At 41.4% G+C, this 26,335-nt stretch overlaps 1 long non-coding RNA gene and 1 pseudogene across 3 annotated transcripts in view, besides 2 other annotated features; both read right to left on the minus strand.

Moving 5' to 3' along the window:
- The window catches only part of SLC44A3-AS1 (SLC44A3 antisense RNA 1), a 203,881-nt gene that overhangs the window by 23,796 nt on the left and 153,750 nt on the right, over positions 1-26,335 (minus strand). Inside the window, exon 5 of one of the 3 annotated variants that reach the window (NR_104131.2) lies at positions 17,386-17,908. The exons of the other annotated variants lie outside the window; for them this stretch is intronic. This is a non-coding gene — a long non-coding RNA (SLC44A3 antisense RNA 1). Of the gene's footprint in view, positions 1-17,385; positions 17,909-26,335 lie in introns of those variants that run through there. 3 annotated transcript variants of the gene reach the window in all.
- KATNBL1P2 (katanin regulatory subunit B1 like 1 pseudogene 2) lies at positions 10,206-11,337 on the minus strand (annotated as a pseudogene).
- Positions 19,160-19,678: an enhancer, noted in NCBI's record as "NANOG-H3K27ac hESC enhancer chr1:95124863-95125381 (GRCh37/hg19 assembly coordinates)". NCBI's record gives its function as "activates a minimal SCP1, AML or CMV promoter by ChIP-STARR-seq in naive H9 embryonic stem cells {active_cell/tissue: H9 hESC(naive)}" and the evidence as "EXISTENCE:reporter gene assay evidence [ECO:0000049][PMID:30033119]".
- Positions 21,156-21,961: an enhancer, noted in NCBI's record as "OCT4-NANOG-H3K27ac hESC enhancer chr1:95126859-95127664 (GRCh37/hg19 assembly coordinates)". NCBI's record gives its function as "activates a minimal SCP1, AML or CMV promoter by ChIP-STARR-seq in primed H9 embryonic stem cells {active_cell/tissue: H9 hESC(primed)}" and the evidence as "EXISTENCE:reporter gene assay evidence [ECO:0000049][PMID:30033119]".

Here is a 26,335-nt window from a genome sequence, read left to right on the forward strand (position 1 = left end):
TGTTTGACATAAAGTTACTCTATACTCCATATATTCTACTCCTAGGTATATACTCAAGAGAAATGAAGACATATGTCTACACAAATAAGTGTACATGAATTTTATCGCAGCACTTTCAAAATAGCCAACAAAAGTAAAAAGAGCCCAAATGTCCATCAACTTATGAATGAATCAGCAAAATGTGGTATATCTACATAATCAAATATTGTTCAACCATAAGAGGAATGAAGTGCTAATGTGTGCCACAATATGGATGAATCTTGAAAGCATGTTAAGTGAAAGAATCCAGTCAAAAAGGCCACGTATTGTGTAGTTCCATTTATAGGAAATGTCCAGAAGGGGAAAATCCATAGAAATAAAAAGCAGATTAGTGGTTGCCAGGGGCTGTGGGAAGAAGAGAATAGGAAGTGACTGTTAATAGGCACTTTTTGTTTCCTGGGGAGGGGAGTGATAAAAAATATTCTGGAATTATACAGTAGTAATATCGCACAACTTTGTGACTATACTTTAAACCATTGAGTTGTACACTTTAAAAGGTTGCATTTTATAGTATGTGAATTATATCTTAATTTTAAAAATCTGGCAGAGGGAGACAAAATAAATAAAGTAACTAGGTAATATGAAAAAAATCAATAGCACAGTTAAATTACTTTGTTTGGAGACCATCTTTGTATCCCTTGCAAGAGCCTGCTGGATTCCATTCTAAACCTTCCATGCTGAAGAGTATGAAATCATGAAGCAGGGATGTGTACACTGTTATCTATCCCTACTTTTCTCCCTGTAGTACCTCCCACCTTGCCTTGTATGTTCATTTTTGCCTTATAGACTAGGGTTTCTCCAAGTGTCACCTGAGTCCAATTGCATCCCAAATCTCTTCTAATGCTTGTGCAAAATTCTTGGGCCTCACTCCACATACACTGAAACAGAAACGCTGTGGGTATAACTCTGGACTTGACATTTTTAACAAGTTACCCACCTATTAAAAATAATACTATTATTAATAATAGTAGCTTTTACCTATAAAATACTATTAATATGTGCAGGCACCATTCCAAATGCTTTACATAAACTGACTTATTTAATCCTCAGCACAATCTATGACTAGGTACTATTATTGTCACCATTTTACAGATGAGTAAACTGAGATACTGATAGATTAAGAAACTTTCCCAGAGGCATAGAACTATTAAGTGTAGAGCTGAGAATGAAATGCAGGCAGCCTAGCTTCAGACTGCAAGCTTTCCACCAGGGCGCAATACCACCTCTTCTCCCCATTGATTCTTATGCTTCAGTCTAAGATTCACTGCAATGATTATTATTTAATGCATCACTTGCACCTGCAGAAATAAAAATCTGTCTCTGCCTTTGATGTGGAAATTTACAAAACCCAATCATCTTAAGGGGAACGTGCCAAGCTGGTATGAGATAGTAAGTTTGGAAATTTGGACATGAAACTAGTACACCTTTGGGAAAAGCATCATGCCCCCTCCCCACCCCCAATCAATGAACTGCAATGATGCAAACCACCCAGAGAAGAGGCCTGTCTGCTGTGGGAGAAACCTGGCCTGAGTTCCATTCTGAAGCCTGGACCAGCCTTCCCCCATGGTGCTTCTGACTCACCAGGACAAGGTGGGGGAGCCTTATTTGTGGGTGTCATTGTTCTTGTCACAGAACTTGGTCAGGCCTGTTAGGAAGTCCCAGCCAGCTTCAGGTTGTCTACTGATGGCCCAGGCCACTTTCAGGCTGGAATTGGGCCTCACAGCTTCTGTGTGGCCAGAGTCAGCACATCCACAAGGGCCAGGGTTGGCTCCACATCACATGGGCACCTTCCAGTGCAGCTCTCCCAGGTGACAGGAGGCACACTGACAAGAGCTTGGTGTTGGATGGTGGAAAGGGCACTAGCCTGGGATGAGAAGACACAAGAAAAATTGCTGCATCTGCCCCTGTGGGTGGGTGCAATGGGCAGTCATGCGGTCTCTAAAGCCTCAGACACCTCACCTGTAGAATAAGGAAAATACTTCCCAGCCAACGCCTCTGCAGGTGGCTAAGATGACTGATAAAGAAAACATCAGTGAAACTGCTTCCTCCAGCATTGGCGTCATTCTGAATTGCCAATCTATAACTCTATGTCTGGCCTTCCTCAACTCTAAAGGACTGGCATTCGCTCACTCATTCAACAAATATTAATTGAGTGAACGTGTGACTTTCCACGTAGATAACATGGAGATCTGCAAAGTGACTAATAGGCATCTGAAGGCTAACGTAGTTGAAGCAGAACTCTTGTTTCTCCAGGAAACCAGCCCCTCTTCCAGCTTGCCCCATCTAGGAAACAGCATCCATATCCATCCACTTGCTGAAGCTAAAACTCAGGAGTCAGCTTTAACTTCTCCCTTACTTCTTTCAATCCCTGAGCAAAGCCTTGAACATGCACTTGAGTCTCTCTCCCACTTGCAACACCAGATTCCAGTCCAGTGCCACCATCCGGCTCTTCATCCATGGCACCACCTCCATGCCAGTCTCTGCTTCTTTTCAGAGGCTCTATATTCAGCAGGCAGGACAAATCACATCACGTCCCTCCCCTGCTGGGAAGTCTGCAGTGGCTTCCCAGTGCACTTGAACTGAAAGCCATGCTGTCAAGGCCCAACATGACCTGGCCCCTTCCCCTCGTACGCAGCTCTCCTTTACTGTGTTCCAGCCACTCCAGCCAGCCTACTTACTCATCCCAGCATGCCAAGCTCATTCCCATCCCAGGCCTTTGCGCTGGCTACTGACCCTATCCTGGAATGCTCTTCTGCCGGAACATTGCCTGACTCCTTCTCATCACCTATGTTTCAGTTCAAGTAGCATATCCTCAGTGAAGCCACCACTCCCTGTCCTGAGTTACTCTCTACCTCTTTATCTGTTCCAGTTTCTGTTATGATCTGATATTGCACCTGTTAGGATCTGATGTTATCCTAACTATGTGTTTATCTACATGTCAAGTATCTGTCATTCCCCTCAAATATACTCTGTTTCACAAGAGAGGCAGTTTGTCTGGTTATCCCCAGCTCCTAATGCTTGACACATAACTGGCACTTAACAAATATTTCTCAAAGGGATGAACTGATATTACTATTACTGCACTGCTTTCAAATACATTTGTCTTGTTCTGAAAAGAATTTAAGGGGGTTATAGAACTGAATGAAATGGAATAAGATTTGTAAAATACCAGCCTAGGAAATTAGGTTTTTTAAGAAAGAGGGTAGGAAACTTAGAAGAACTCTTAGCCTTGCATTGTTCCTGGGCTCAGCCCCGGGAGCGCCTCTTCTCCACCCTCATGCTACCCCCACCTACCCTTTATTCTGCCATCTGCTCTAGGCTGTGGCTCCGAATACCAGCAATGCATTTCTATTCAGCCAGATGTCTACCTGAAACCCAAGCTCACTCATCTCCACTTGGGGTCTAACAGGCCCCGCACTCCTAGCGTGTTCAAATCTACTGCCCCAGATTCCCTTCATGGGAGAGCATGTAGTTAAAGACACTCTATCCTTCCAATTTCTCAGGGTCATCCTTGGCCCCCTCCTGTCCTTCGTGCCCCACACTGTATCTATCAACAAATCCTATTACCCAGAATGTGACCTCTTCCCACCTACTACCATGCTGGCTCAGCACACCATCTCCTCTGAGATCCTGCAGGGGTCTCCTAAGTGGTCTCCCTGCTTCTACCTCTGTCTCCTATGTGTGCTGTCAGCTCGCTAGCTAGAGGGACCCTTTGAAGTTATGCCACTCCTCTGCTCCAAACCCTCTAATGGCTTCTCATCTTACGCAGTGTAAAGGCCCAAGTACAGCAAAGCCCTCTGAAGCTCGACAGGAGCTTGCTTCCGGTTACTTCTTGGACCCTATCGCTGCCTCACCCACTCCACTTCAGCCACGCCATCCTCCTTGCTGTTTCTTCAACATGCTGGGCACACTCCTGCCTCAGGGTTTTGAACTCCCTGTTTCCTATCTCTGGAATGCTTTTTTTCCCCAGGGATCTAGACAGCACACATCACTCCTTCAGGCTTTGCTCAGATGGCAACTTCTCCGTCAGTGCTTCTCAGACCTCTGCTCTATTTAAAATGTATTTTCAGAGTAGTATCTAGAACAGTGTTTGGTGGGTAGCAGGTACTCAGTAACTACTTGTTGTTTAATGAGTGCAGATGAAGAAGAGTGAGGCAAAGGCATGAAGCACACACTTCAAGGTCTTTATATTGCTTAGTGTTGAGCCACAAACTTGCCGCTCCACTTTCTAACAGTCAGCACACACATGAAAGCAGTTTCAGTTATGCGCATCACAGTACCCGTCTATAAAATCCAATCAAACCATTTGTTCAGGAAAAACTTAATAACTCTTCCTGATACCGAGATCAGAGAGAAAGCTCTCCCATTACACTTTCTGAAGAGGTTGTAATATTGTGAGCAAAGTCCTCAGTTCAGAGCACTAGAAAGCTGCAGCAACAAGGAGCAGAGTGCTTCTTATTACATTTTCCAGTGTGGTTGATGACTTATACCAGAGTATAATTAAGGTAAAAGCAGGGCCAGAACAGTTTGGTGCCGAGATGCAGCTTTCTTTTGAATGGATCCAGGAACATACCTAGAGTAGCAGGAACAGATCTATACTCCCAGAAACAAACCTGGAGTACCCAGGATCAGGCATGCTTTATGGCTCTTGCCAGTGCCTCTGAATGAAGCTTGCGTTTGCTGAGAAATTGGCAGGTAGTTTATGAGAATGGGTCATTCTTGGAGTGTCATGGAGATTGTACCAATATAGCTTTAGAAGCACGACCATGGTCCATGTACATGCATTCCCTGGAGTAATGCAGTGCACAACCTGTACAACTGAGTGAGGCATCCCCATTTAGGACGCTGGATAAGTGTAGAGACCTAGGCTTTAACTAGTAGCCAAAGCCAAAGGTGGCTTGCCACATATGTATAAAAGATGCAGTGCCAAAAAAGGATACATAATATCTAATGTACTGCAGAAAAGGGCTAAAGGAATAGCAGTGGGCAGGGCCAAGATGCTTCATAGAAAGAACCTGGAGTTGGGCTATCAGAGAATGGCTACAAGAATACTAGAGTGAAAATGCTCAAAGCAGTTGAAACAAAATATACTCGCCCATGCCAGCTATAAAAGATCTCAGCAGAGCTCCCACTGACCAACTCACTTGAGCTGTGTGGTTTTTCTTCAGTGCACAATTGTGAAATAAACATTGAGGTAGGGCCGGGCACGGTGGCTCACGCCAGTAATTCCAAGACTTTGGGAGGCCGAGGCAAGTGGATCACGAGGTCAGGAGTTCCAGATCAGCCTGACAAACATGGTGAAACCCCCGTCTCTACTAAAAATACAAAAATTAGCCAGGTGTGGTGGCGTGCGTCTGTAATCCCAGCTACTCAGGAGGCTGAGGCAGGAGAATTGCTTGAACCTGGGAGGCAGAGGTTGCAGTGAGCCAAGATCGTGCCACTGAACTCCAGGCTGGGTGACAGAAAGAGACTCTATCTAAAAAAAAGAAAAAAAAGCCAGGCACAGTGGCTCACACCTGTAATCCCAGCACTTTGGGAGGCCGAGGCGGGCAGATCACAGGGTCAGGAGATCGAGACCATCCTGGCTAACACAGTGAAACCCCATCTCTACTGAAAATACAAAAAAAAAATTAGCCAGGCGTGGTGGTGGGCGCCTGCAGTCCCAGCCACTCGGGAGGCTAAGGCAGGAGAATGGTGTGAACCCAGGAGGCAGAGCTTGCAGTGAGCCGAGATTGCGCCACTGCACTCCAGCCTGGGCGACAGAGCGAGACTCCGTCTCAAAAAACAAAAAAAACAAACAAAAAAAACACATCGAGGTAGATGGCTGAATTACATTGCTATTTGGGATTGCTAGCCGTAAACTATTAAATCAGGAGCAGTTACCAGAACTGATGACTGCAGTAAGGTTTCCCACTAAGAAATTTGATTCTATAAAATTTACAGTAATACAAATACAAATATTCACTCCACTGGGGTTCACACTCAGTTCTTCTGTCCAAGGGCTCCTAATTTGCACATGACAGGAAGATCAGTATTTCCCTGTGTCCATGTGTAAGAAGTACATTTCTTGAATTTTTGTGGTAAGTCAAGGACTTCCATGAGAATTAATTTTCACATGCATACATCCCCCAAAGATATATTTTGTCTTTCATTTATTGGAAGATATGAAGAAATTACATGATAATTAAGCTGAAAAATATGCAATGTGGCGATGACTAAGCAAACACCTCAGCTTTCATGATCGCCATTATCATAGCTGACTGGAGTCCCCAGGAATGCATTCATTCAGAGTCAAACCCGCGTTGAGAGCCTACCATGTGCCAAGCCCCATGCTAGGCATTTTTCTGAGGATGGGTTGGGAGTGGGGAGTGGAGATAAAGATCAAGAAGACATGACCCTTGACCTTAAGGAGATCCCAATCTAGTGGAGGAATCATAACTTTCTCATCTGAAAGTTCATCTAGCCCTGCAAGGCAGTGCATGGTGAGCATGCATTTCAGGATGCACCTTGTATGATCTCTGTGGACGAGAGGGGTCTGGGGCCTCCAAGGGAGGTAGGCCTTGAGCTGGTCTTGAAGAAGATTAGAATATGGAAAACTGGGTCTCATAGAGGGGAGACAATCACCAATCTCCTTCCTCTGATCGCTAATCAGAGAGAAATTAAATTCGTAGGGCTTGGTGGTGCAGACCTGTAATCCTAGCACTCTGGGTAGCTGAGACAGGAGCCAGCTTGCCTTCCTGCCTTCCTTCCTTCCTTTCTTTCCTTCTCTCTCTCTCTCTCTCTTCTTACGAGACAGGGTTTCCCTCTGTCGCCCAGGCTGGAATGCAATGTTGCAATCATGGCTAACTGCAGTCTTGACTTCCAGGACTCCAACAACCCTTCCAACTCAGCCTCCCGAGTAGCTGGGACTACAGGCATGCACCACCACACCTAACTAACTTAAATTATTATTATTATTATTATTATTATTATTATTATTTGTAGAGACAAGGTCTCACTATGTTGCCTAACCTATACACCTCTGGAGCAGCTCCTGGGGTTCCCTCCTCCTAACACATACAGCCCAAAATGACTTAGCCAGCAAGAAGGAAGAAAGGAGCCAATGACAAGAGCATGCTTATGATGAGCCAGGCATTCTTCTAATCACATTACCCACAACTCTAACCTCCCCCCGACTCTGCCAGGCAGGAGCAATTGCAATTGCTCACTTCTAGTAATCAAGGAGCAGAAGTGCAAAGATTTTCTAAGTCACACACAGTTAATAGGCAGCAAAGACCAACCACCCTGATAGGTCTGATGCTTTGTACTACTCAGACACAACCAAGTGTGGACAAGGAGGGCCTCAGAGAACTGGATCAGGTGTCCTCATGGGTCTCTCTTCACTGCAGGAGGATAAGAGAAAGAATCTCCAGTGTTCTATTGAATCCAAGCAGGAGCAGATTATTTAGGGAAGCCTGGGGCGGCAGTCCTTTAGAACTGGAAGGAAACTCGAAAAATGTCCAGTTCAACCTTGTTTTACAGAAGAGGGAACTGAGGCTTAGAGAGGTAAAGTGATTTGTCCAAAGTTAAGTGATGCCTACATAGTTTATGGCTCTTCTCCCCACAGTGTACTGCAAATCCTACATCCATGACCTTCATGGACACCAGGCAAATTAGGGTATGCCCTTTCTTGCAGGTCTTCTCTGTGTCTGTCTGGGTTCAAGAAGCAGGAAATGATGGAAAGTGCTCTGTGTTGACAAGGGACTTGTCCATTCTGGGTCCTTTGCTCTCCTCCAGGTCACAAACTCCCCACCTGATGTTCTCCCCTTTCATTCCCACTCTGCTTTCAGGAAAGGGTTGGACAGGTGACACCTTGGTAGGAATTTAAATCATATCATTGGGCACTATATTCATTTAGGCTGTCTCTCCAATCATCAATGAAAAACTTCATCCTCATCAAAGAGACTTCAGTCCCAGCCACAGATTGGTTTTTTGGAGGGGTGGGGTGGGGAGGGGGCGGGTGGTGACAGCAAGGCTAGGAGGGAGGGGGTCATGGGTGAGATCTGATATGCTTAATAGAGCAGCAGTCACTCCAATCAGCTTTGTACCCTGAGGATCTTATCCAAGTTGGTTTTCGTGTCGGAGCTCAACACCGCCTTACAGAAGATGTTTTGGTGATGAAATAAGAGCTTTCGTATCTGTTTAGGCAGCTGGCGCATTTCCGCAAGCCTCCTGACCTGAGCAGGCTGAGTCAGGGACAGGCCTATTTGTTAGATAAACTCAGAGAGTTACAGGTTTCTCAAGACTTTATAAATCCATCCCGTGTGCGAGTACTTCCCTTTCCTTAAATGGATTATTAGAAAAGATTGGATGCAAATCAAGAATTCAATTTCTAACCAAGCAAATTTCCACCCACACAGAGAACTCATTTTAGCGTAGGCAACTTCTAATAAATAAAAGATTTTCTTCAACTCCGAGACTGACTTCTCATTAAAATGAGGTGGGACTCTACAGGGGTCTTTTAAGGGTCCCTGTCTGGGTGCTGAAATCCAACATGTCATAGTTTAAAAACACCGTAGACACACTAAATGAACCTATGTACTCTCATTTGCTGCTCACACCTTCCCTGGGATGAAGGCTGCTGAGTGAGCTCTACGCTTGGCAAGGAAATGTGGAGCAGGTTGTACCCGAGAACGTCCATAATTCCACCTCTGATCAGACAGGTGTGGCATCAAATCCTGGCCCAGACACAAAAGCTGTTTGACTTTGGACAACATACTTAATCTCCCTGAGCCTGGGACTCTTCTAGGTCTTGAAAACAGGGGCACTAACACCCACCTCCCAGTGCTGCTGTGAAGACCACACAAGATACCTTTATAAAGCCCCTGGATATAGTAATCACTCTGTTTCTTGCTAGCAATTATTATGTAAGGAACTTTTCTAAACATGTGTTTCTCTTTTCACATGAGGTTTTTTCCTGAGCATGTGGAAAACTATGATGGTAGATGTTTTGGAAAACACAGAAAACCATAAAAAAGAAAATAAAAATTGTCTGTGTTCCCAACACTCAAAAAGAATCACTATTAACATTTTGATATGCTTTAATTTCATAACATCCACACAGATGCACACATACTTCTATATAGTCACACACATATAATTTTGTGGTTGAGAATGTGTGCTGTTTTCTTTTTTCACCTAACATTATATTTTGAGCATTTTCTTATATAATTAAAAATTCTTAAAAACATCATATTCAACAGTTTCAAAATAATAATATTTTCTGTCTTAATTTCATTGTATACAATTCTTTGTGTTTCTGATTATTTCATATTTTTCTTTTTATTCCTAATTTTGCAGATGAATCGACTGATCAAAGCACATGAACTTTTTAAAAAAGAGTAATAAGTTTACTTAAATAAAGAAAGCTTAAATTATACAGAACTGAAAATATTAGAAATCTATATCTAATTAAATGTGTATAAATTAGCCAACTCCATAGACATTTCTAGTTGAGCATTCGTAAAAATACATATTAATTCTTTCCTTTTATTTAGAGATAACACATGCCTACATAACATAATGACCCTGGCCAAAAAAAAAATCAGATGATAAAAATATTCTCAAGTTGTGAAAATGATGTGAAAAACATTTCAGTGACAACATTCTTCATGAATATAAACCTCTGATTTAATTCCTCTGATTTACCTTTGAACATGCAGAAGCATGATGGTTTTAAATTTTTTTTTAATGTGGTGGTCAGGATTATCATCAAGCAAATATTTTACAGATATTGGTATCATAACACATCAGCTTATTAACATTTAAGGCTTTTTGCATGCACAATATCTCATTGTGAGAAAAACAATTTTAATATTGGTTATTTGCCATAATTTTTTAAACTTTCAAAGCCTTTTCAACATAAGAGAATGGCTGCACACATTTTCTTATAGAATATAATCTTTAAAAAATTAACTAAGATTGGTCTTTATGGTTCCTAGTAATAAGTCCTTGTCTTATTTTTTCATATAGTATAAATTATACGCTTATGTAATATGCAGGACTGCATTAAGACCCAGTAGTTCCTAAACAATGTTACCAAATAACCACATAAATCCCAAATGCACCAAAGTTCAAGTATCTTTGTAGTATCCTTCCACCTAATTGAAGTTGAAGCTGTTCCTTTTGGGTATTTTTCTACTTCAGTATGAAGTATATTGTTAGAATTTCATTAGTGGGTTCATTATGTGGCTTTTTAAAGACAAAAGTGGTTTTGATTTCTCCGATAGTTCACAATTCTGACGAGACATTTTCTTGGAAGTCATATAGTCAAGAGATGCTTTGAATAACAAAACACTCTTTAGTAGCTGTAATCTCTCAATGCCACTGTTACAAATGAGTGTTTATATCCTTGGCTATAATAGCAGTATTTCCCAGATGGCTTCCCTGTTCCCACAATACACTTCATTGTTTTAAAATCTGAATATTTCCATTATTATAATTTGTTTGATTATAATCCTGACCACCACATTTTAATGACTGATTGAATCCAGTTTAAACCAATTATTACATATTTTCTTCAAATTTGCTTTTAAGTAGTGACTTTGCTAGTGGTACCAAATCTATACAGCAGCCATGTAAGGTGTATTGCTTTTCTTCCTGTAAACTATTGGTGAGCACGAGAAGGCAATCCACCAAACTCCAAGATCTCCTATCCTCACCAAATAAGGTACAAATTCACTCACACATCTTTTTCTGCAAAAAATTAAAGCTACTTTCAATCTCAAATTCATGTTCAGCAGAACTTGTGCAACTGTTTCATGGTCCTGCGAAACCTTAGGGAAAGCCCGCCATATTTTGATAATAGGCTGTCTAAAAAATCAGAATCACTGGAGTTAACCAGATATATTTAACTATCATGGTGTAATTTTTCTGGCAGGTGGCCTGCACAAGCCAGTTCATTTTCTTTACTTGTCATGCCCACAGCCCCCACTTGAAGAGGAATGTTCCTTTCCATAGGAAAGATTTGAGATTTGGAAAAAAATGATGAACTTTCTTTCTGCAATAGGTGCCCTTACGTAGTTTATGTGGGCATTTCCTAGCTTCTCCAATTGTTCTAGTTACGTAAGCAGCCAACTGTCTTGGAAATTTCTTAAGCTCCTTCATGTTCTTACCAGTCAAAGTAGAGATCCTTTCTCTAAGACCATCAATGAAATGATCCTCAATAATATTAGAAAATTCCCATTTTTAACATTGGGGTTTCAGATGCTGTAGTTCCTAAACATCAGTGCCTCAGGTTACTGCAGCTGTTCAGCCCAGTCCTGGCATCCACTGGGCAGCCCTCTCAGGCCTGTGCAAGACCTGCTAGGAGAGCGCCCCTTGGGCAAGGTGGGGGCACTTCCCTGACTCCGCCCAATGCTGGTTCTGCCCTTTTCCGGTGGGTCGGTGGGTCGTGAAGGACCTGAAGGAGGGGGAAGAGCTACAGTCTATGAGCTATTAAGGCAGTAGTGGAAATTTGCTGTCCAGAAAATTTGTACCAACTCAACTTCCATCAGCAGGGGAGAAAAGTAAATCTTTGGGAACCTTTGCAACTTTCCCATGCCTGTTCTTATTTGCTCCTATGGCAATTAACAATGAAAGCCAAAAAGACAAGGGGGTCTGTGAAAGATGTCAGAGAACCAGAAAGGGGAGATTGGGAAGTTGGTCCTCATTCCTGGGCTCTGGAAAGCAATAGCAGGAAATTGAATAGATGATAAAAGGTTTACAAAGGCCTGAGGGATAGAAGAAAGAGGGATGTGGGGATGGCAAGGAGGTGCCTCTCAGTGTATATTTTCACCCCTGGATGACACAGAATGTCCTTGGGGCAAGGTGGCAGCCCTGCTCCTTTGCACTGAGTTCTAAGTGCCGTGCTGGGCACACTATGGAGCCCAGGAAGTACCGTGTAACGATGGGCTCCCATGAGCCTGGAGGAGGACATGGAAAATGGATTTTTTAAATGGTCATCTGCAAGAAAAATCCAGAGTGGAATTCTTGTGTCTGGTCAGCTCTATGGACAATTAGGGGCTAGTGTTGCGTGGAAGAGACATAGGTGCCTTTAGACCAGCTCTCTACCTCTGGCTCGCTCTTTTGGTTTGGTTTCGTTTCGTTGGTTTAACTTTTATTTTATTTATTTTTTAATTAACAAATAACAACTGTACATATTCACAGAGTATGTAGTGATGCTTCTATACATATAATAAATGGTGACAGATCAGGGTAATCAGCATGTCCATATCTCAAACATTTATCATTTCTTTGTGTTGGGACCATTCAATATCCTCCTTCTAGCTATTTGAAGCTATATAATGTGTATTGTTAGCTAGGTCATCCTACAGTGGTATTGAACACCAAAACTTATTCCTCCTAGCTAGCTATAATTTTGTACCTTTTAACAAATGTCTCCCCATCCCTCTTTTCCCCCTACCTTTTCCAGCCTCTAGTATATGCTGTTCTACTTTTTACTTCTTTGAGATAGCTTTATTTATTTATTAAGCTTCCACATATGAATAAACATGTGGTGTTCAACTTTCTGGTCCTGGCTTACTTGACTTAACGTAATGTCCTGTAGCTCCATCCATGTTGCTGGGAATGACAGGATTTCATTCTTTTTTATGGCTGAATAGTATTCCATAGGGCTTGTTCTTAACAGACTATGTGAAGGAGGTGATCATCCAGGCTTTTTGGTCTTATAAAACTTAATCCGGCTGGGCACAGTGGCTCATGCCTGTAATCCCAGCACTTTGGGAGGCTGAGGTGGGTGGATCACGAGGTCAGGACAGCGAGACCATCCTGGCTAACACGGTGAAACCCTGTCTCTACTAAAAAATACAAAAAATTAGCCGGGCATGGTGGCGGGTGCCTGTAGTCCTAGCTACTTGGGAGGCTGAGGCAGGAGAATGGTGTGAACCCGGGAGGCGGAGCTTGCAGTGAGCCGAGACAGCACCATTGCACTCCAGCCTGGGCAACAGAGCAAGACTCCGCCTCAAAAAAAAAAATACAAAAATTAGCTGGGCTTGGTGGCATGTGTCTGTAATCCCAGCTATTCAGGAGGCTGAGGCAGGAGAATTGCTTCAACCCGGGAGGTGGAGGTTGCAGTGAGCCGAGATGGCACCACTGCACTCTGGCCTGGGCAACAGAGCAAGACTCTGTCTCAAAAAAACAAAAACCAAACAAACCTAACCCACTTTCCATCAATCCATCAATCAGCTTTCAACGAGCACCCCTTTAATGCTCCGCACTTTTGCACTTGGGCTGAGCCCTGCAGGGTCACACATGAAGTGGAAGCCATAGTACCTGCCTGTGAGGATGTGGTCTTGGTGAGGAGGCCAGACCAACACCCATGAACGCATCACAAACCACAAAAGACCATAGAAAAGCAAGCATCAGACTGTGCATGGAGTGCAAGCTGGTGCAGTGGGAGTCCCAAGGACAGGAGGTGGACAGGACAAGGGCTTCAGCACAGAGGTGAGGCTTGAGCTTTAGAGATCCCAGGGGTGGCCTTGAGATCTACATGCTCCTTTGAGTGTAAAGGGCTGATCGTTCTGAGAGGAGGAAAGGCATCACCCCTCACTTTCTGGGTCCCCTGCTCCTTGCAGGACCACCTGCACAACACCACGGTGCTCAAGGGCTATCAGTGAAGGAAAAGGGAAGAAAGGAACAAATGGCCTGTGGCGGGGTAAAAAACAACTCCAGCTCTTCCTACCAGGCCAACTTTTGTGACTGGCTCCCAGGCTGCCTTGCCTCTGGGGTTCAAGGGAGGCTTGTCTTCTGAGAGTCGGTAGGATTAGACAAAAACTCCAGCTCTGTTCCAAGGGTCTATCAATATCCTCATAGCTGGGTATGTTAAGTGCTGGTATATTTACCCTGTTTAATCATGGTTCCATCCCTCTGAGGAAAAAGCTGATTACAGCCACTTGGGGAGAGAGAAATAACAGTGACCTTCTGCAGAACCAGCGATAACTTATTCCTTGTAAGGAGTGGATAAACAAAATGCCCCACACTCATCACTCAGGAATGTGCACCTCTTTGTGTGTTCTTCCTAACAGTACCTAGTAATTGGGCTCAACACCTCAGTGCAGCATTTCCTGTCATCTCTGGGACAGCAGAGTGGAGGTGACCTCCCTTCCCACTCATTGGAGAGAACATTAATTGCTAGAGGTAATCCTAACCATAAAGTTTCTGGATCAGAGTTGCAATTGCATTGAATAGGAATAAAAGGCTGTTAAAAGGAAGATTTCTATTATCTGAGAAATCAAACTTTCTAGCAGCTTTAACACCTATTCACAATGGGTTTTTATTCAATCCCCATTAAAAGAAGTCAAAAGTTACAGGAATCAAAGCCAAAGTCCCTCCAGAAGCTAACATAGTAATAAAACCATCAGTAATTTTAATGATTGTTTACATATAGTGCCTCCTCTAGGTCAGGCACTTTACTTATGATCTGTTAATTCCTGTATTAACCTAGTAATTATACCCAATTTTATAAGAGCAAATATTAAAGCTCAAGGAGAGATTACGTCATTTGCCAGAGTTCACACAGCTAACAAGTGGAAAAACAGATTTGAACCTGTTTTCCTGACTCCAAAGCCAGCAAAGTTCTTTCAACTGGAGCCAGAAATACCCTAATGCCCATGGGTGACCAGGGTCCCTTCTGGGCCATGTGGTGTGGAGAATGAGTTTGACCACCCCAAATTGTCTTGTTCCTCAAGAGGATTTCCCAGACCTTCAAGGAATAAAATAATGTTGTGTTTTCTCCTAAACTGGTTTTCATCCAAATCTTGTGTTGCTCAGAAAAACATGGAGCCAGAAAGCCAAATTCCAGAGTCCTCTCTGTGGTCATCCCGGGAGGGGCCCAGGCAGCAGGGATATCCTAGGCCTATTCATGAGATGCTCCAGGTTTAGCCTCCCTCTCCCCGGTTGGCCTGGCAGCCTGTTCACTGGCTGCTCTCATAAGCCACCCAGGCTGCGTCCCTCCAGCTCCCATCGCTAGTCAGCTGGGCCAGACCCCACCCCTGTATTCAGTGTGGTTGCCAGACATGCAGCCCCACCATGATCCCCATTCTTCATTCAACCAATATTATGTACCCATTATACATGCAAGGTACAGTCATAAGCTCTTGGGGGACAAGACAGAGATAATCCATGATCTCTGTGAGTGGTCATTCAGGAATATGGAGTGAATGCTCAACCAGTTACTCAACTAATTGCTTAATTACAATTGTATAAATCCTTCAGAAGTTGCCAAGTTGCTAAGGGAGTGTGCAACTGGGGTGGGGATGGGGGGCTTGACTAGGACTGAGGGATGAGGAAAAGCCTCTCCTAGGAAGAAGACAAGAGGGCTGAGGCACACAGAAAGAGGGGTCAGTGGTACAAAATGAGGCCAGAATGGTCAGCAAGGCTCCATCTTGAGGGCCTTTATAGGGCTGGAATTTATCTTAGGAACAAGGAGACTCCATTGAAGGGTTCAGGTTGTGAATGATACATGTGTATGGATCAGGGAAGAAAAGAATGATATGTCTACCAAAAAATTCTGAATTGTGCTGAGAATTAACAACTGTCTTTTTAGCCTTTTGTCTCCCTAAAATAGTAAGTTTCCAGTAACTCACAGGTTGACAATTAAAGGGGTTGTAATAGATGTCCTTTTAAAAAAATAATTTTTTAATAGACAAGGTCTTGCCTGTTGCCCAGGCTGGAGTGCAGTGGCACAATCAAAGCTCTCTGCAGCCTCAAACTCCTGGGCTTAAGCAATCCTCCTGCCTCAGCCTCCTGAGTGGCCTGGACTAAAGGCATGAACCACCACACCCAGCTAATTTTATTTTTTGCAGAGACTTGTTCTCCCTGTGTTGCCCAGGCTGGTTTCAAACTACTAACCTCAAGCAATCCTCCTGTCTTAGCCTCCCAAAGTGCTGGGATTACAGGTGTGAGCCACCATGCCCGGTCCAATAAGTGTTCATGATAATGTGGATTTGTTCTTGACAATCAGGACTCAAGCCCAGGCAATCTTCTGCAAGTCAGAGTATTCACCCACCCCTGCATCAGTCTGAATCTGGAAAACTCTTCTGGCACAGCCACGTTTCAGTGAGTAGGCCCACCCTGCCCCATTCAGAGGGGTGGATTGGAAGAGGCACTTAGGGCCAGTCTGGAGGAAAGAGACAAGGCAAAGAGTAGGATGGTGCCGGGACCTCAAGGACCGATTCCTTTTATCAGCGTTGTCCACATGGGTTGCTCTTCTGGGCCCTAGGAAAGCATTAGAGACCCCCAGACATGATTCTCAGAGTCTGCCCTGACATGTCACCCCAGAAGATCGAGGTCTTTGGTCCTTGAGCCCTTTACTTTGAACACGAGAAGTGTTTGCTCGTGGGATCTACACAAGTCTTTTTTTTTTTTTGGAGATGGAGTCTCGCTCTGTCACCTAGGCTGGAGTGCAATGGCACAATCTCAGCTCACTGCAAACTCCGCCTCCCCGTTCAAGCGATTGTCCTGCTTCAGCCTCCCAAGTAGCTGGGATTACCGATGCCCGCCACCAGGCCCGGCTAATTTTTGTATTTTTAGTAGAGATGGGGCTTCACCAGGCTGACCAGGCTGGTCTTGAACTCCTGACCTCAGGTGATCCACCCCCTCTGGCCTCCCAAAGTGCTGGGATTACAGGCATGAGCCACCATGCCCAACCTCAAGTCTTTTCTGATCCTAACATTCTGGGACCTAATCACTTCAAAGGAGACATGCCATTTCCAGCTGAGGCCCCAAGAGGAATGTTTTATGGTGGACAACTCTGAGGGCTGGCATGGGGCCTGGAGAGGGAATGGAAAGGAAGAAGGGAGCTGATGGGAGGTCCACAAGGACTTTTGTTGAATGGTGGGGAGGGGGCAAGGCAGAAAGCAACTTATGGCATGATTCTACCCAGAGACAGCCCAGCCTTTGAAAACTTGCCTCGCCCAGAGTGAGAAAGATTTAAACAACACACACACACCCACACACACACCCACATACGCCCCCCCATCATACATATATTCCATGCATTTCTTAATTAAGGGAATGCTAACATTTCTTTAAAGTACAGTTCTTAAAATGATATTTGGAGACCACATTCTTTAACTTGTGAGAATATACCTCCAACCTCTTAATAAAATTGTGATTAAAAAAAACTTTCTCTAATTGTGGCTAAATTTGATGTCATTGATTAAAATGTATGCCAATTTGCAACATTAATAACCTTGTTGCTATGCCTGTTCTACCAAAACCCTTTTCCTAGTATTTCTTACATCACCACACATCTGAAAAAGTTTCTTTCATGCGCGTCCGTGTGAAGAGACCACCAAACAGGCTTTGTGTGAGCAACATGGCTGTTTATTTCACCTGGGTGCAGGCGGGCTGAGTCCGAAAAGAGAGTCAGCGAAGGGAGATAGGGGTGGGGCCGTTTTATAGGATTTGGGAAGGTAATGGAAAATTACAGTCAAAGGGGGTTGTTCTCTGGTGGGCAGGGGCGGGGGTCACAAGGTGCTCAGTGGGGGAGCTTCTGAGCCAGGAGAAGGAAATTCACAGGGTTAATCACTCAGTGAAGGTGGGGCAGGAACAAATCACAATGGTGGAATGTCATCAGTTAAGGTGGGGCAGGGCCTTTTCACTTCTTTTGTGATTCTTCAGTTACTTCAGGCCATCTGGGCATATACGTGCAAGTCACAGGGGATGCGATGGCTTGGCTTGTGCTCAGAGGCCTGACAGTTTCCACTGGGCTTCTCCCCTCCAAAGAGTTCCTGGGATGGCCTTGGGATCCACGTGGTGGGAATCAGCCCACAGGTGGGGGAGGGGAAGGTGCTCTTCACCTGTGTTGCATCAGCAGCGTGAGCTGCTGCTATCAAGTGTTGAAAAGAATGTGAGACAAAAAGAGATAATATTTGAAATGGAAAGAAAATAGTATTACTAAGCCAAGTGATCAAATATTGCCAATTTTGCTTGCCAGCTATCATGAACTGATAACAAATTAGCAAAAGGCCAAACTTACATGCACGAAGTTGTCCTAAGCAGTGGCCAGATCCAGACATAACACATATCTCTAGATATCATTCATGGCTTACAAGCTTTGTAGTCTTTGCCCTGTGATGAGGCTATCCTCCCAGCGGGGTAGGAGGAAATGATTCCTTGTGCTCTAGCTGGTTGTAGTGGCTTATACTCTGGCCAGGAGGTCAGAAAACTGTCACAGAACCAACTCTACTCATTATTTGCTGTGTGCTTTGGCCAAGTCTCCTAACTCATTGGAGTCTGTATTTCTTTATCTCTGAAATGACAGCAACACTCAACACACGTTGACTGAGGACAGACTGTATGCTAGTCTGAACTATGTGTGAGTGAACACATAGTCATCACTTCCATGAGAGTGGAATAGTCGATATAAAACTCAGTACCACATGTGAGTGACTCCAAATATTACAGCATCCTCATTTGCTAAATGAACTCTTAAGAAAAGGTTTTTACTTTTATATTTGTTGATATTAAAATATATCAGGATGTTAATTAAATAGACAAATGTCTGTGCATAATAATGTGTTATTTTAATTACTTATAGGTAAAATCACATGCTATTCATTAATTTGTAAATCTTGATTAAAATGTTGAGTTTTCATTATATATTTAAAAATCACAGCCAGGCACAGTGGCTCACGCCTGTAATCCCAGAACTTTGGGAGGCCAAAGAGGGCAGGTCACCTGAGGTCAGGAGGTCAAGACCAGCCTGGCCAACATGGTGAAACCCCGTCTCTACTAAAAATATTTTTTTAAAAATTAGCCAGACATGGTGGTGGGGACCTGTAATCCCAGCTACTCAGGAGGCTGAGGCAGAAGAATTGCTTGAACCCAGGAGATGGAGGTTGCAGTGAGTTGACACGGTGCCACTGCACTCCAGTCTGGGTGAGATAGTGAGACTCCGTCCCAAAAAAAAAAAAAAAAAAAAAAAAAAAAATCACATCATGTTTATAATGCAGAAATACTGCCTTTACCCACTCACAATGCAATACTTTTAATCAAATTCTTCCAGTGCACTTTTGATATCAGTGTTTTGACATTCCCTATGGCCAGTCTTCAAGCCCATTTTTCAGAGCACAGCATCTTCATATTCATCTGGATTGCTTGAGATTCAGCACTTCTTGAATCTAAATATGATGTTGTCATTGAAAATTATACCTCATGCCATGATAGTTTTTTCCCTATTTGTGATCTCATAAGATAACTGTCACGCCTCTGAGCCCAAGCTAAGTCATCATATCCCCAATGACCTGCATGTATACATCCAGATGGCCTGAAGCAACTGAAGATCCACAAAAGAAGTGAAAATAGCCTTAACTGATGACATTCCACCATTGTGATTTGTTTCTGCCCCACCCTAACTGATCAATGTACTTTGTAATCTCCCCCACCCTTAAGAAGGTTCTTTGCAATTCTCCCCACCCTTAAGAAGGTTCTTTGCAATTCTCCCCACCCTTAAGAAGGTTCTTTGTAATTCTCCCCACCCTTGAGAATGTACTTTGTGAGATCCACGCCCTGACCCCAAAACATTGCTCCTAACTCCACCGCCTATCCCAAAACCTATAAGAACCGATGATAATCCCACCACCCTTTGCTGACTCTCTTTTCGGACTCAGCCTGCCTGCACCCAGGTGAAATAAACAGCATTTTTGCTCACACAAAGCCTGTTTCTATGCAGCCACAAAAATTGATGAGTTCATGTCCTTTGTAGGGACATGGATGAAGCTGGAAACCATCATTCTCAGCAAACTATCTCAAGGACAAAAACCCAAACACCGCTTGTTCTCGCTCATAGGTGGGAATTGAACAATAAGAACACATGGACACAGGAAGGGGAACATCACACACCGGGGACTGTTGTGGGGTGGGGGGAGGGGGGAGGGATAGCATTAGGAGATGTACCTAATGCTAAATGACGAGTTAATGGGTGCAGCACACTAACATGGCACATGTATACATATGTAACAAACCTGCATGTTGTGCACATGTACCCTAAAACTTAAAGTATAATAATAATAAAATAAAATTAAAAAAGAAAAGCCTGTTTGGTGGTCTCTTCACATGGACACGTGAGACAATAACCACATATCCTTCAAGTATGGTATATTAATAATGTTGACTTTCAACATGATCTTTATATGGTTTGTTTACTGTGACCTCCAACACTCAACAATTGAGAGGTCAGAGCCTCAGGAATAATTGCCAAACGTGTCAGATTTCTTTGCCACTTTTTTTCCTGTATTACCAGTAGTCTTCCATAAGATCCCACATTAGCATTACTTTAGATGGCTTAAGACTAACATATGTTCATCAAAAACAAGGTTGGTGTCTGAAATAAAGTGATTGAATGCTTTGTGTTCTGTAAAGACTCTACTATAAGATGACTCCAACAGATAATTTTGAGGAGAAAAGGCATAATTATATGTGATAATTATAATAAAGGCTAGAGGGCATTAATAGCTCCAGATGAAAAGTGTTCAGAGATAAGAGAGAGTATAGACTAGCTATATGTTTAATCATTGAGTTGTTCATTTTTCTTAACCTCTTTACCTAGAAAATAAGGCCAATCAACAATACCTCAGAATGTTGCTAGGAGGAGTAAATGAGGTTATAAATTCTAGCATAGTGCCTGGCTTGAAGGTGTACTTAGGGTGAGGGCCATCATTCCCTGAGTTCTTCCAGCTCTGCTCCCACTTGTGACTTTATGGGATGTTAAAGGAAAAGGAACAGGGGCAGGACAAGACAGGAACAAAGTATCTTTGCCCATTGTTCAGCTGAGACAGATTAGAGTTTTTCCAAAGGTGCTTTCCCAAGAACCAAAGGAAAACTAAGACCTAAAGACACAAAGACTGTAGTTACAGAGCCCCTCCCCAGATCTCAGTGTCATTGTTCCTTTCTGCATCCTTCAGTCCTGTGGCATTTTCCTCTGCTAGTCTCACTTGTACATGCAGCCACTATGGAATGCTGGGGCCATGTGAGAGGAGGGGATTTGCATAACAGTAGAAAACCACTGGGATTTGGAGTAGGGTGAACTGACTTTAAGTCAGCCTCTACCTTTCACTGGCTTTAAGATTTTGCAAATGTCCATTTGCCTCTCCAAGTCCCAGTTTCTTTATCCTTATGTAAACAAAAAAGTGAGACAGATCTCAATCAATTTATTTTGTCAAGGTTAAGGACATTTGCAGAAGAAATAAAGACAGAGTCACAGAAAGAGGAGAAAGGCCTGTGCCTTTCTCCAAAGATGATTTTGAGGGCTTCAATATTTAAAGGGGAAAAGTGGGCTGGAGGGGAAAGAGGGAGGGTATGGTAATCCAAGGGAGGGTATGGTAATTCAAGAGAAAAGGAACAGATAGGGGAATAGTCAATTATGTATTTGTTTTGTGCTCAGTAAATTGGCACTTTGCATAAGACAAGGCTAACATAGAATAACTCTGTGGAGATATTTAACCTCTTATCTGTAGATATCTGCTTAGGAACAAAAGGAAAGTCAGCTTCTTGCATAACTCAGCTTTCAGCTTAATTTTTTTCCTTTGGCATACTGAATTGAGGTCTCGAATTTTTATTTTCCTTTCACATTTCTCCACCCTTTTCTTTTTAAAAGCTTTCAGAGAAAGCATTTTAGAAGAAAGTGAGTCTCTGGTATTGGGTTTTATCTGATGTCTGATGGCAAGGACAGTTTATTCCTAGACGGATAGGTCCCAAGTTGTTAGGCAAGCTCACCTTTAGTAAGTTGTGAAGCCTTACATCCCACAAAGGAAAAAAAAAACATAGGAGAGGGAAGAGAGAAAGAAAACAACAAACAAACAAAAAAGGAGAACAATCCTGGAAACCTGATATAGGCCATATTACTCTGAAGTCCATACATCAGTAGGCAGGTATGAAAGTGTTTTATCTATATAAACAGGATGCTATTATTTTCTTCCAAAGTTTAAGTTGTCTAGCTTCAGTTTGTATGGCATTTAAAAAAGCACAGTTTAGTTTTTCGTGATTTTCAAATCAGGAAAAATGGGGAAAAAAGGAAAAGAAGGAAACAAATTGAAAACATTATTTTGGAGACTTGTAGCCAGAAAAAATTTTAGAATTCAGTCCAAATTGTAGAAAACAATAAAAATTAAAAAGCCTTAGGCAAGGTTAGAATCTAATAACAGGTGTACACAGTTTATTTGGAAACATAACTTTTCTCTCTCCAATTCCCCAATTTTATTAAAGACAAAATCGTAGTAGGACCAATTTATTTGTAAAATAAGTTTTAGTTCTATTATACTTGCCTTAATTATTTGCATAAATTGCAGCAAGAATAATCACTTGTCATATAGGCTGTCTCTCTTTTTTTTAAATTGGCTTTGCTGTAACCTTTTTCATAAGGAGTCTAAGATTAGACCTTCTTAAAAGCCTTGAGCCCAGCCTGCAGATACCTGTGTGAATTGGGTGAATTTCTCTCTTTTTAAGGTGCCAAGAAAACTTGGGGTTCCTAGGCCTGCCAGAAAGTGACATTCTTCACTTAACACAGGTCAGGACCCTGTAAAGAACAATGTATAAAGCCAGTTTTTCAAGGGGCTTTTATCAGCTCTGTAGGTCAGCCTCCCTTTCTCAAGGCAATCTGAAAATGCCATTTCAGTCAAGGCCTTGGTAAAACAACCAGTGTCTCCAATTATGCCCTCTTATAAAAGAAAACAGATCCTTATTGAACTTATGCAAATAATTATTTTGTCATAAATTAAGAATACTCAAAAAATAGTTTCCAAATTTTGGAGAAATTAGGTTGAGGGAAAGGATATGTTTTTAATTTTGCTCATAAGAGCATACTTTACTCAGTTGTTAAAAGCTGCAAATAGCTTAAAAGAAGAGAAAGTTTTCTTGACTTTGAAGAACAAAACAAAAAGAATCAGCAAATGTTTTAAACAAAAAGTCATAAAAGATTATTTCAATCTTCAGTTAGTTCAGTCCATTCAATTAACTCCTGTTCTGCTCGATATTGGATCAACAATCCTCATGAATACATCAGACCTCCCTGAGAGTCCTGGAAGTTTTTCTCTATTCCAATGGCACAATCTCTCAATTTACCAGAAACCTATATTTAAGAGTACTCCTCAGAGTTCTATAGCTGATTATAAACGGCCCTATAAAAGGATCAAAGTAGGCCAGGCGTGGTGGCTCACACCTGTAATCCCAGCACTTCGGGAGGCCGAGGCGGGTGGATCACCTGAGGTTGGGAGTTCGAGACCAGCCTGACCAATATGGAGAAACCCTGTCTCTACTAAAAATACAAAATTAGCCAGGCATGGTGGTGCATGCCTGTAATCCCAGCTACTCGGGAGGCTGAGGCAGGAGAAGCACTTGAACCCGGGAGGCGGAGGTTGCGGTGAGCCGAGATCGTGCCATTGCACTCCAGCCTGGGCAACAAGAGTGAACTCCGTCTCGGGAAAAAAAAAAAAAAAAAAAAAGGATCAAAGTAAATCACAGATGACAAAGATCTTAGACCAGTCATGGTTAAAGACACAATTGACAAAAAAATTGTTTACTTCTGTGGCATACAAAGTTTTACATAATCGTCATAATTACTACTACTGATAACATATACTAAGACATATCAGAATCACAGGATTCTCATATAATTTTGGAACAAACACTAATAGCACATTTATGTAAATATTATCCAAAGAAGATTAAATACCATTTTGTATTTGACAATGCTTCCTTTATTATTTTATTGTACCAAATAAACCAAATACATTTCTTTTGGACTTCATGAGACCTAATATCAAAACATTAATGAGGTCAAAAGGACTGAATTTAGAATATGATTTTGGAAAGTTTGTCAAATATCTAAAGTTTAAAACACTTGATATCACAAAATAGGATCGCAGGTCATTATAAAGACAGTCATTCATTTAGCCAAAGTGATAACTCGAAGATTTCAAAAAAAGGCAAAAACCTTTATTCTTTGAGAGAGGAGACTTACTTCCCCAAACAATAAGCCCTGACAAAGACAGCATGAGGCCAATTAAATGTCTCACAAATCTTATAAACAAATCTATTAAATTTTAATCACTTGACTATAACATATAATTTCTATAAACTTTTTTATAATATTTTACAATTTTTTAAATTAAAGTGTTAGTTAATACTCCAAGAAAATCTTGTTAATCTGACACAGGGGCCCAGATGCTGGCCTTGCATCCATGTAACGTTGATATTAATGTTTAATTCATAGAGAAACTTTAAACTAATTTTATTTCTCAAAATCAGCCCTACAATCTCATGTGCCTGTCTCTTCTGTGGTAGTCCCAGGGCCTAGAAGGGTTAAATAGTTTTAATTTCTGGCTCTGTGTCTCATGAACAGTTTATTTTGATAGTCGTCTTCTCCTGGGTTGGCAAATAAGGCTTTAACTGCTGTCAGTGTTTAAGATTTAACAGGATCTGGAGTCCTCTCTAGATCCAAAAGTAAAAGCCCTGTAACTTAACAGCACAGGACTTCAAAAGCAACACAGAGAGTTACATGGATATAATAACCTTAATGTTTTTAAATCTTGGTTTTCCTAGGACTTGCATTAGTTAGACATAGGAAGAGTAGGTCCTGGGTCATAAGTGAAAGTTTTCAATTTCATAGAAGAATTTAAAGCCAAGAGCACAGAATGTTATATTGGAAGAAAATATTTCCTTTAGACCATTTAGATAAAACATTTTTAGTATCAGGACACAATGGAAGTTAGAACCTGAGGAAAAAAATTACAAGAGCTGACGAAAAAGTTGAAGGAGAACATTATTGTCTCAGGCCTTCTCAAAGGGAAGAGAAAACTGAAAATAATGACATGCAATAAAAGTTGAACTTTTGGGTTAAAAAAGTTAAAAGCTCTTATAATTTTATTAAGATTAAATCAATACCTTCAGATAAATTTGTTGTTCCAACCAACTCTTTAATTTGTTAGTGTATTGTTAAATACCAAAGAATATTATAATTTCCTTTTAATTATAGCCAATTTGATCACATAAAGTTCTTTTTAATAAATTCTCTTTTCACAACCCTTATTCCAACTTGCACAAACATTTATGACATGCTTAGATGTCCTGTCTTATCCTAAATATCACTCTTTCTTAAATAACCAGTTATTTTATTTTAGGTCAAAAAATTTACCATACAAGATCCTTTCTCATATAAAATGATTTTCCTTTTAATCTTTCTTACCCCAAATACCTCTTTATATGTATAACTTTCTTTACATCTCTCTTATTTACTGGTTCCCTTTAGCTTGTTTTATAAACAACCTTTAAATAACTTTTGAGTTAGACAAAAATTGTTTCCTTTTAATAAGAACACATTGTTTTTTAGAAAAATGATTTTCTATAATTTTTATTTAAAAAATTGGAAATGACCCAGGTATTTAATTAATATATATTATTTAATTTAACTTTAGGTTCTAAATTATATGACAAGTTTATTTACAAGCATTTATTCTATTACATTTGCCTATTTAATTTGTTTAAATAGTTGATCTAGATTACATATGAAAACTGTGATGGTCATCATTTAGAGTTATTTCCCTGTTAACAATTTTTATAGGCTGTGAATTTCAGGTGTTTACTTAAGTAAGAATATTAAGGTTAAATAAATGTTTTGGGTTTTTTTTGGTCAATAACTCAGGATTTAGCTATTTTCATTAAACCAACAATATTAAATGCTTTATTTATCGAAAAGTTACACAAATATAATTCTCTTTTGGGCTACATTTATAGCTTTACAACCCTCATGCCAAATCTTGACACCTTATAGTATTTAAGAGAAAAAAATATAAAATTGCTTGACCAATAAATCTAAACAATAATGTATGTTGGCGATTCTGAACACATTTCTAATTTTATTTTACCAATAATTTTAAAGCCAGTTTATTTATTAAAACTCTACTTAAGTCACATTAACTTGAAAAGCAACTGGGCTTATTTACTGAATTTGTGAGTTCTCCTTTATTTTTAAGCCAGTTTGGTACCTTGTGGCCATAAACATAACAATACACATGTAGGTATACATAAACACACCTAAGCCCACACACACTCATACAAATAAAGATCCTATAGCTTTTACTTCAGAACTCTAGCCATGAGATACCAATACAAACTTAACCAGTTTACCAAAAAACAGTTGGATGCGAACATGGTTTTTCTCTCAACATCAGTAGAAAGGTCCTCTGAACTAGAAAAAAATTTACATTTTCTTAAGCAAAAACCACATCCTCATGTTTTTATAAACTTCCCCAAAAACACA

This window comes from Homo sapiens, chromosome 1 (genome assembly GCF_000001405.40).
Source record: "Homo sapiens chromosome 1, GRCh38.p14 Primary Assembly".
NCBI classification, from domain to species: domain Eukaryota; kingdom Metazoa; phylum Chordata; class Mammalia; order Primates; family Hominidae; genus Homo; species Homo sapiens.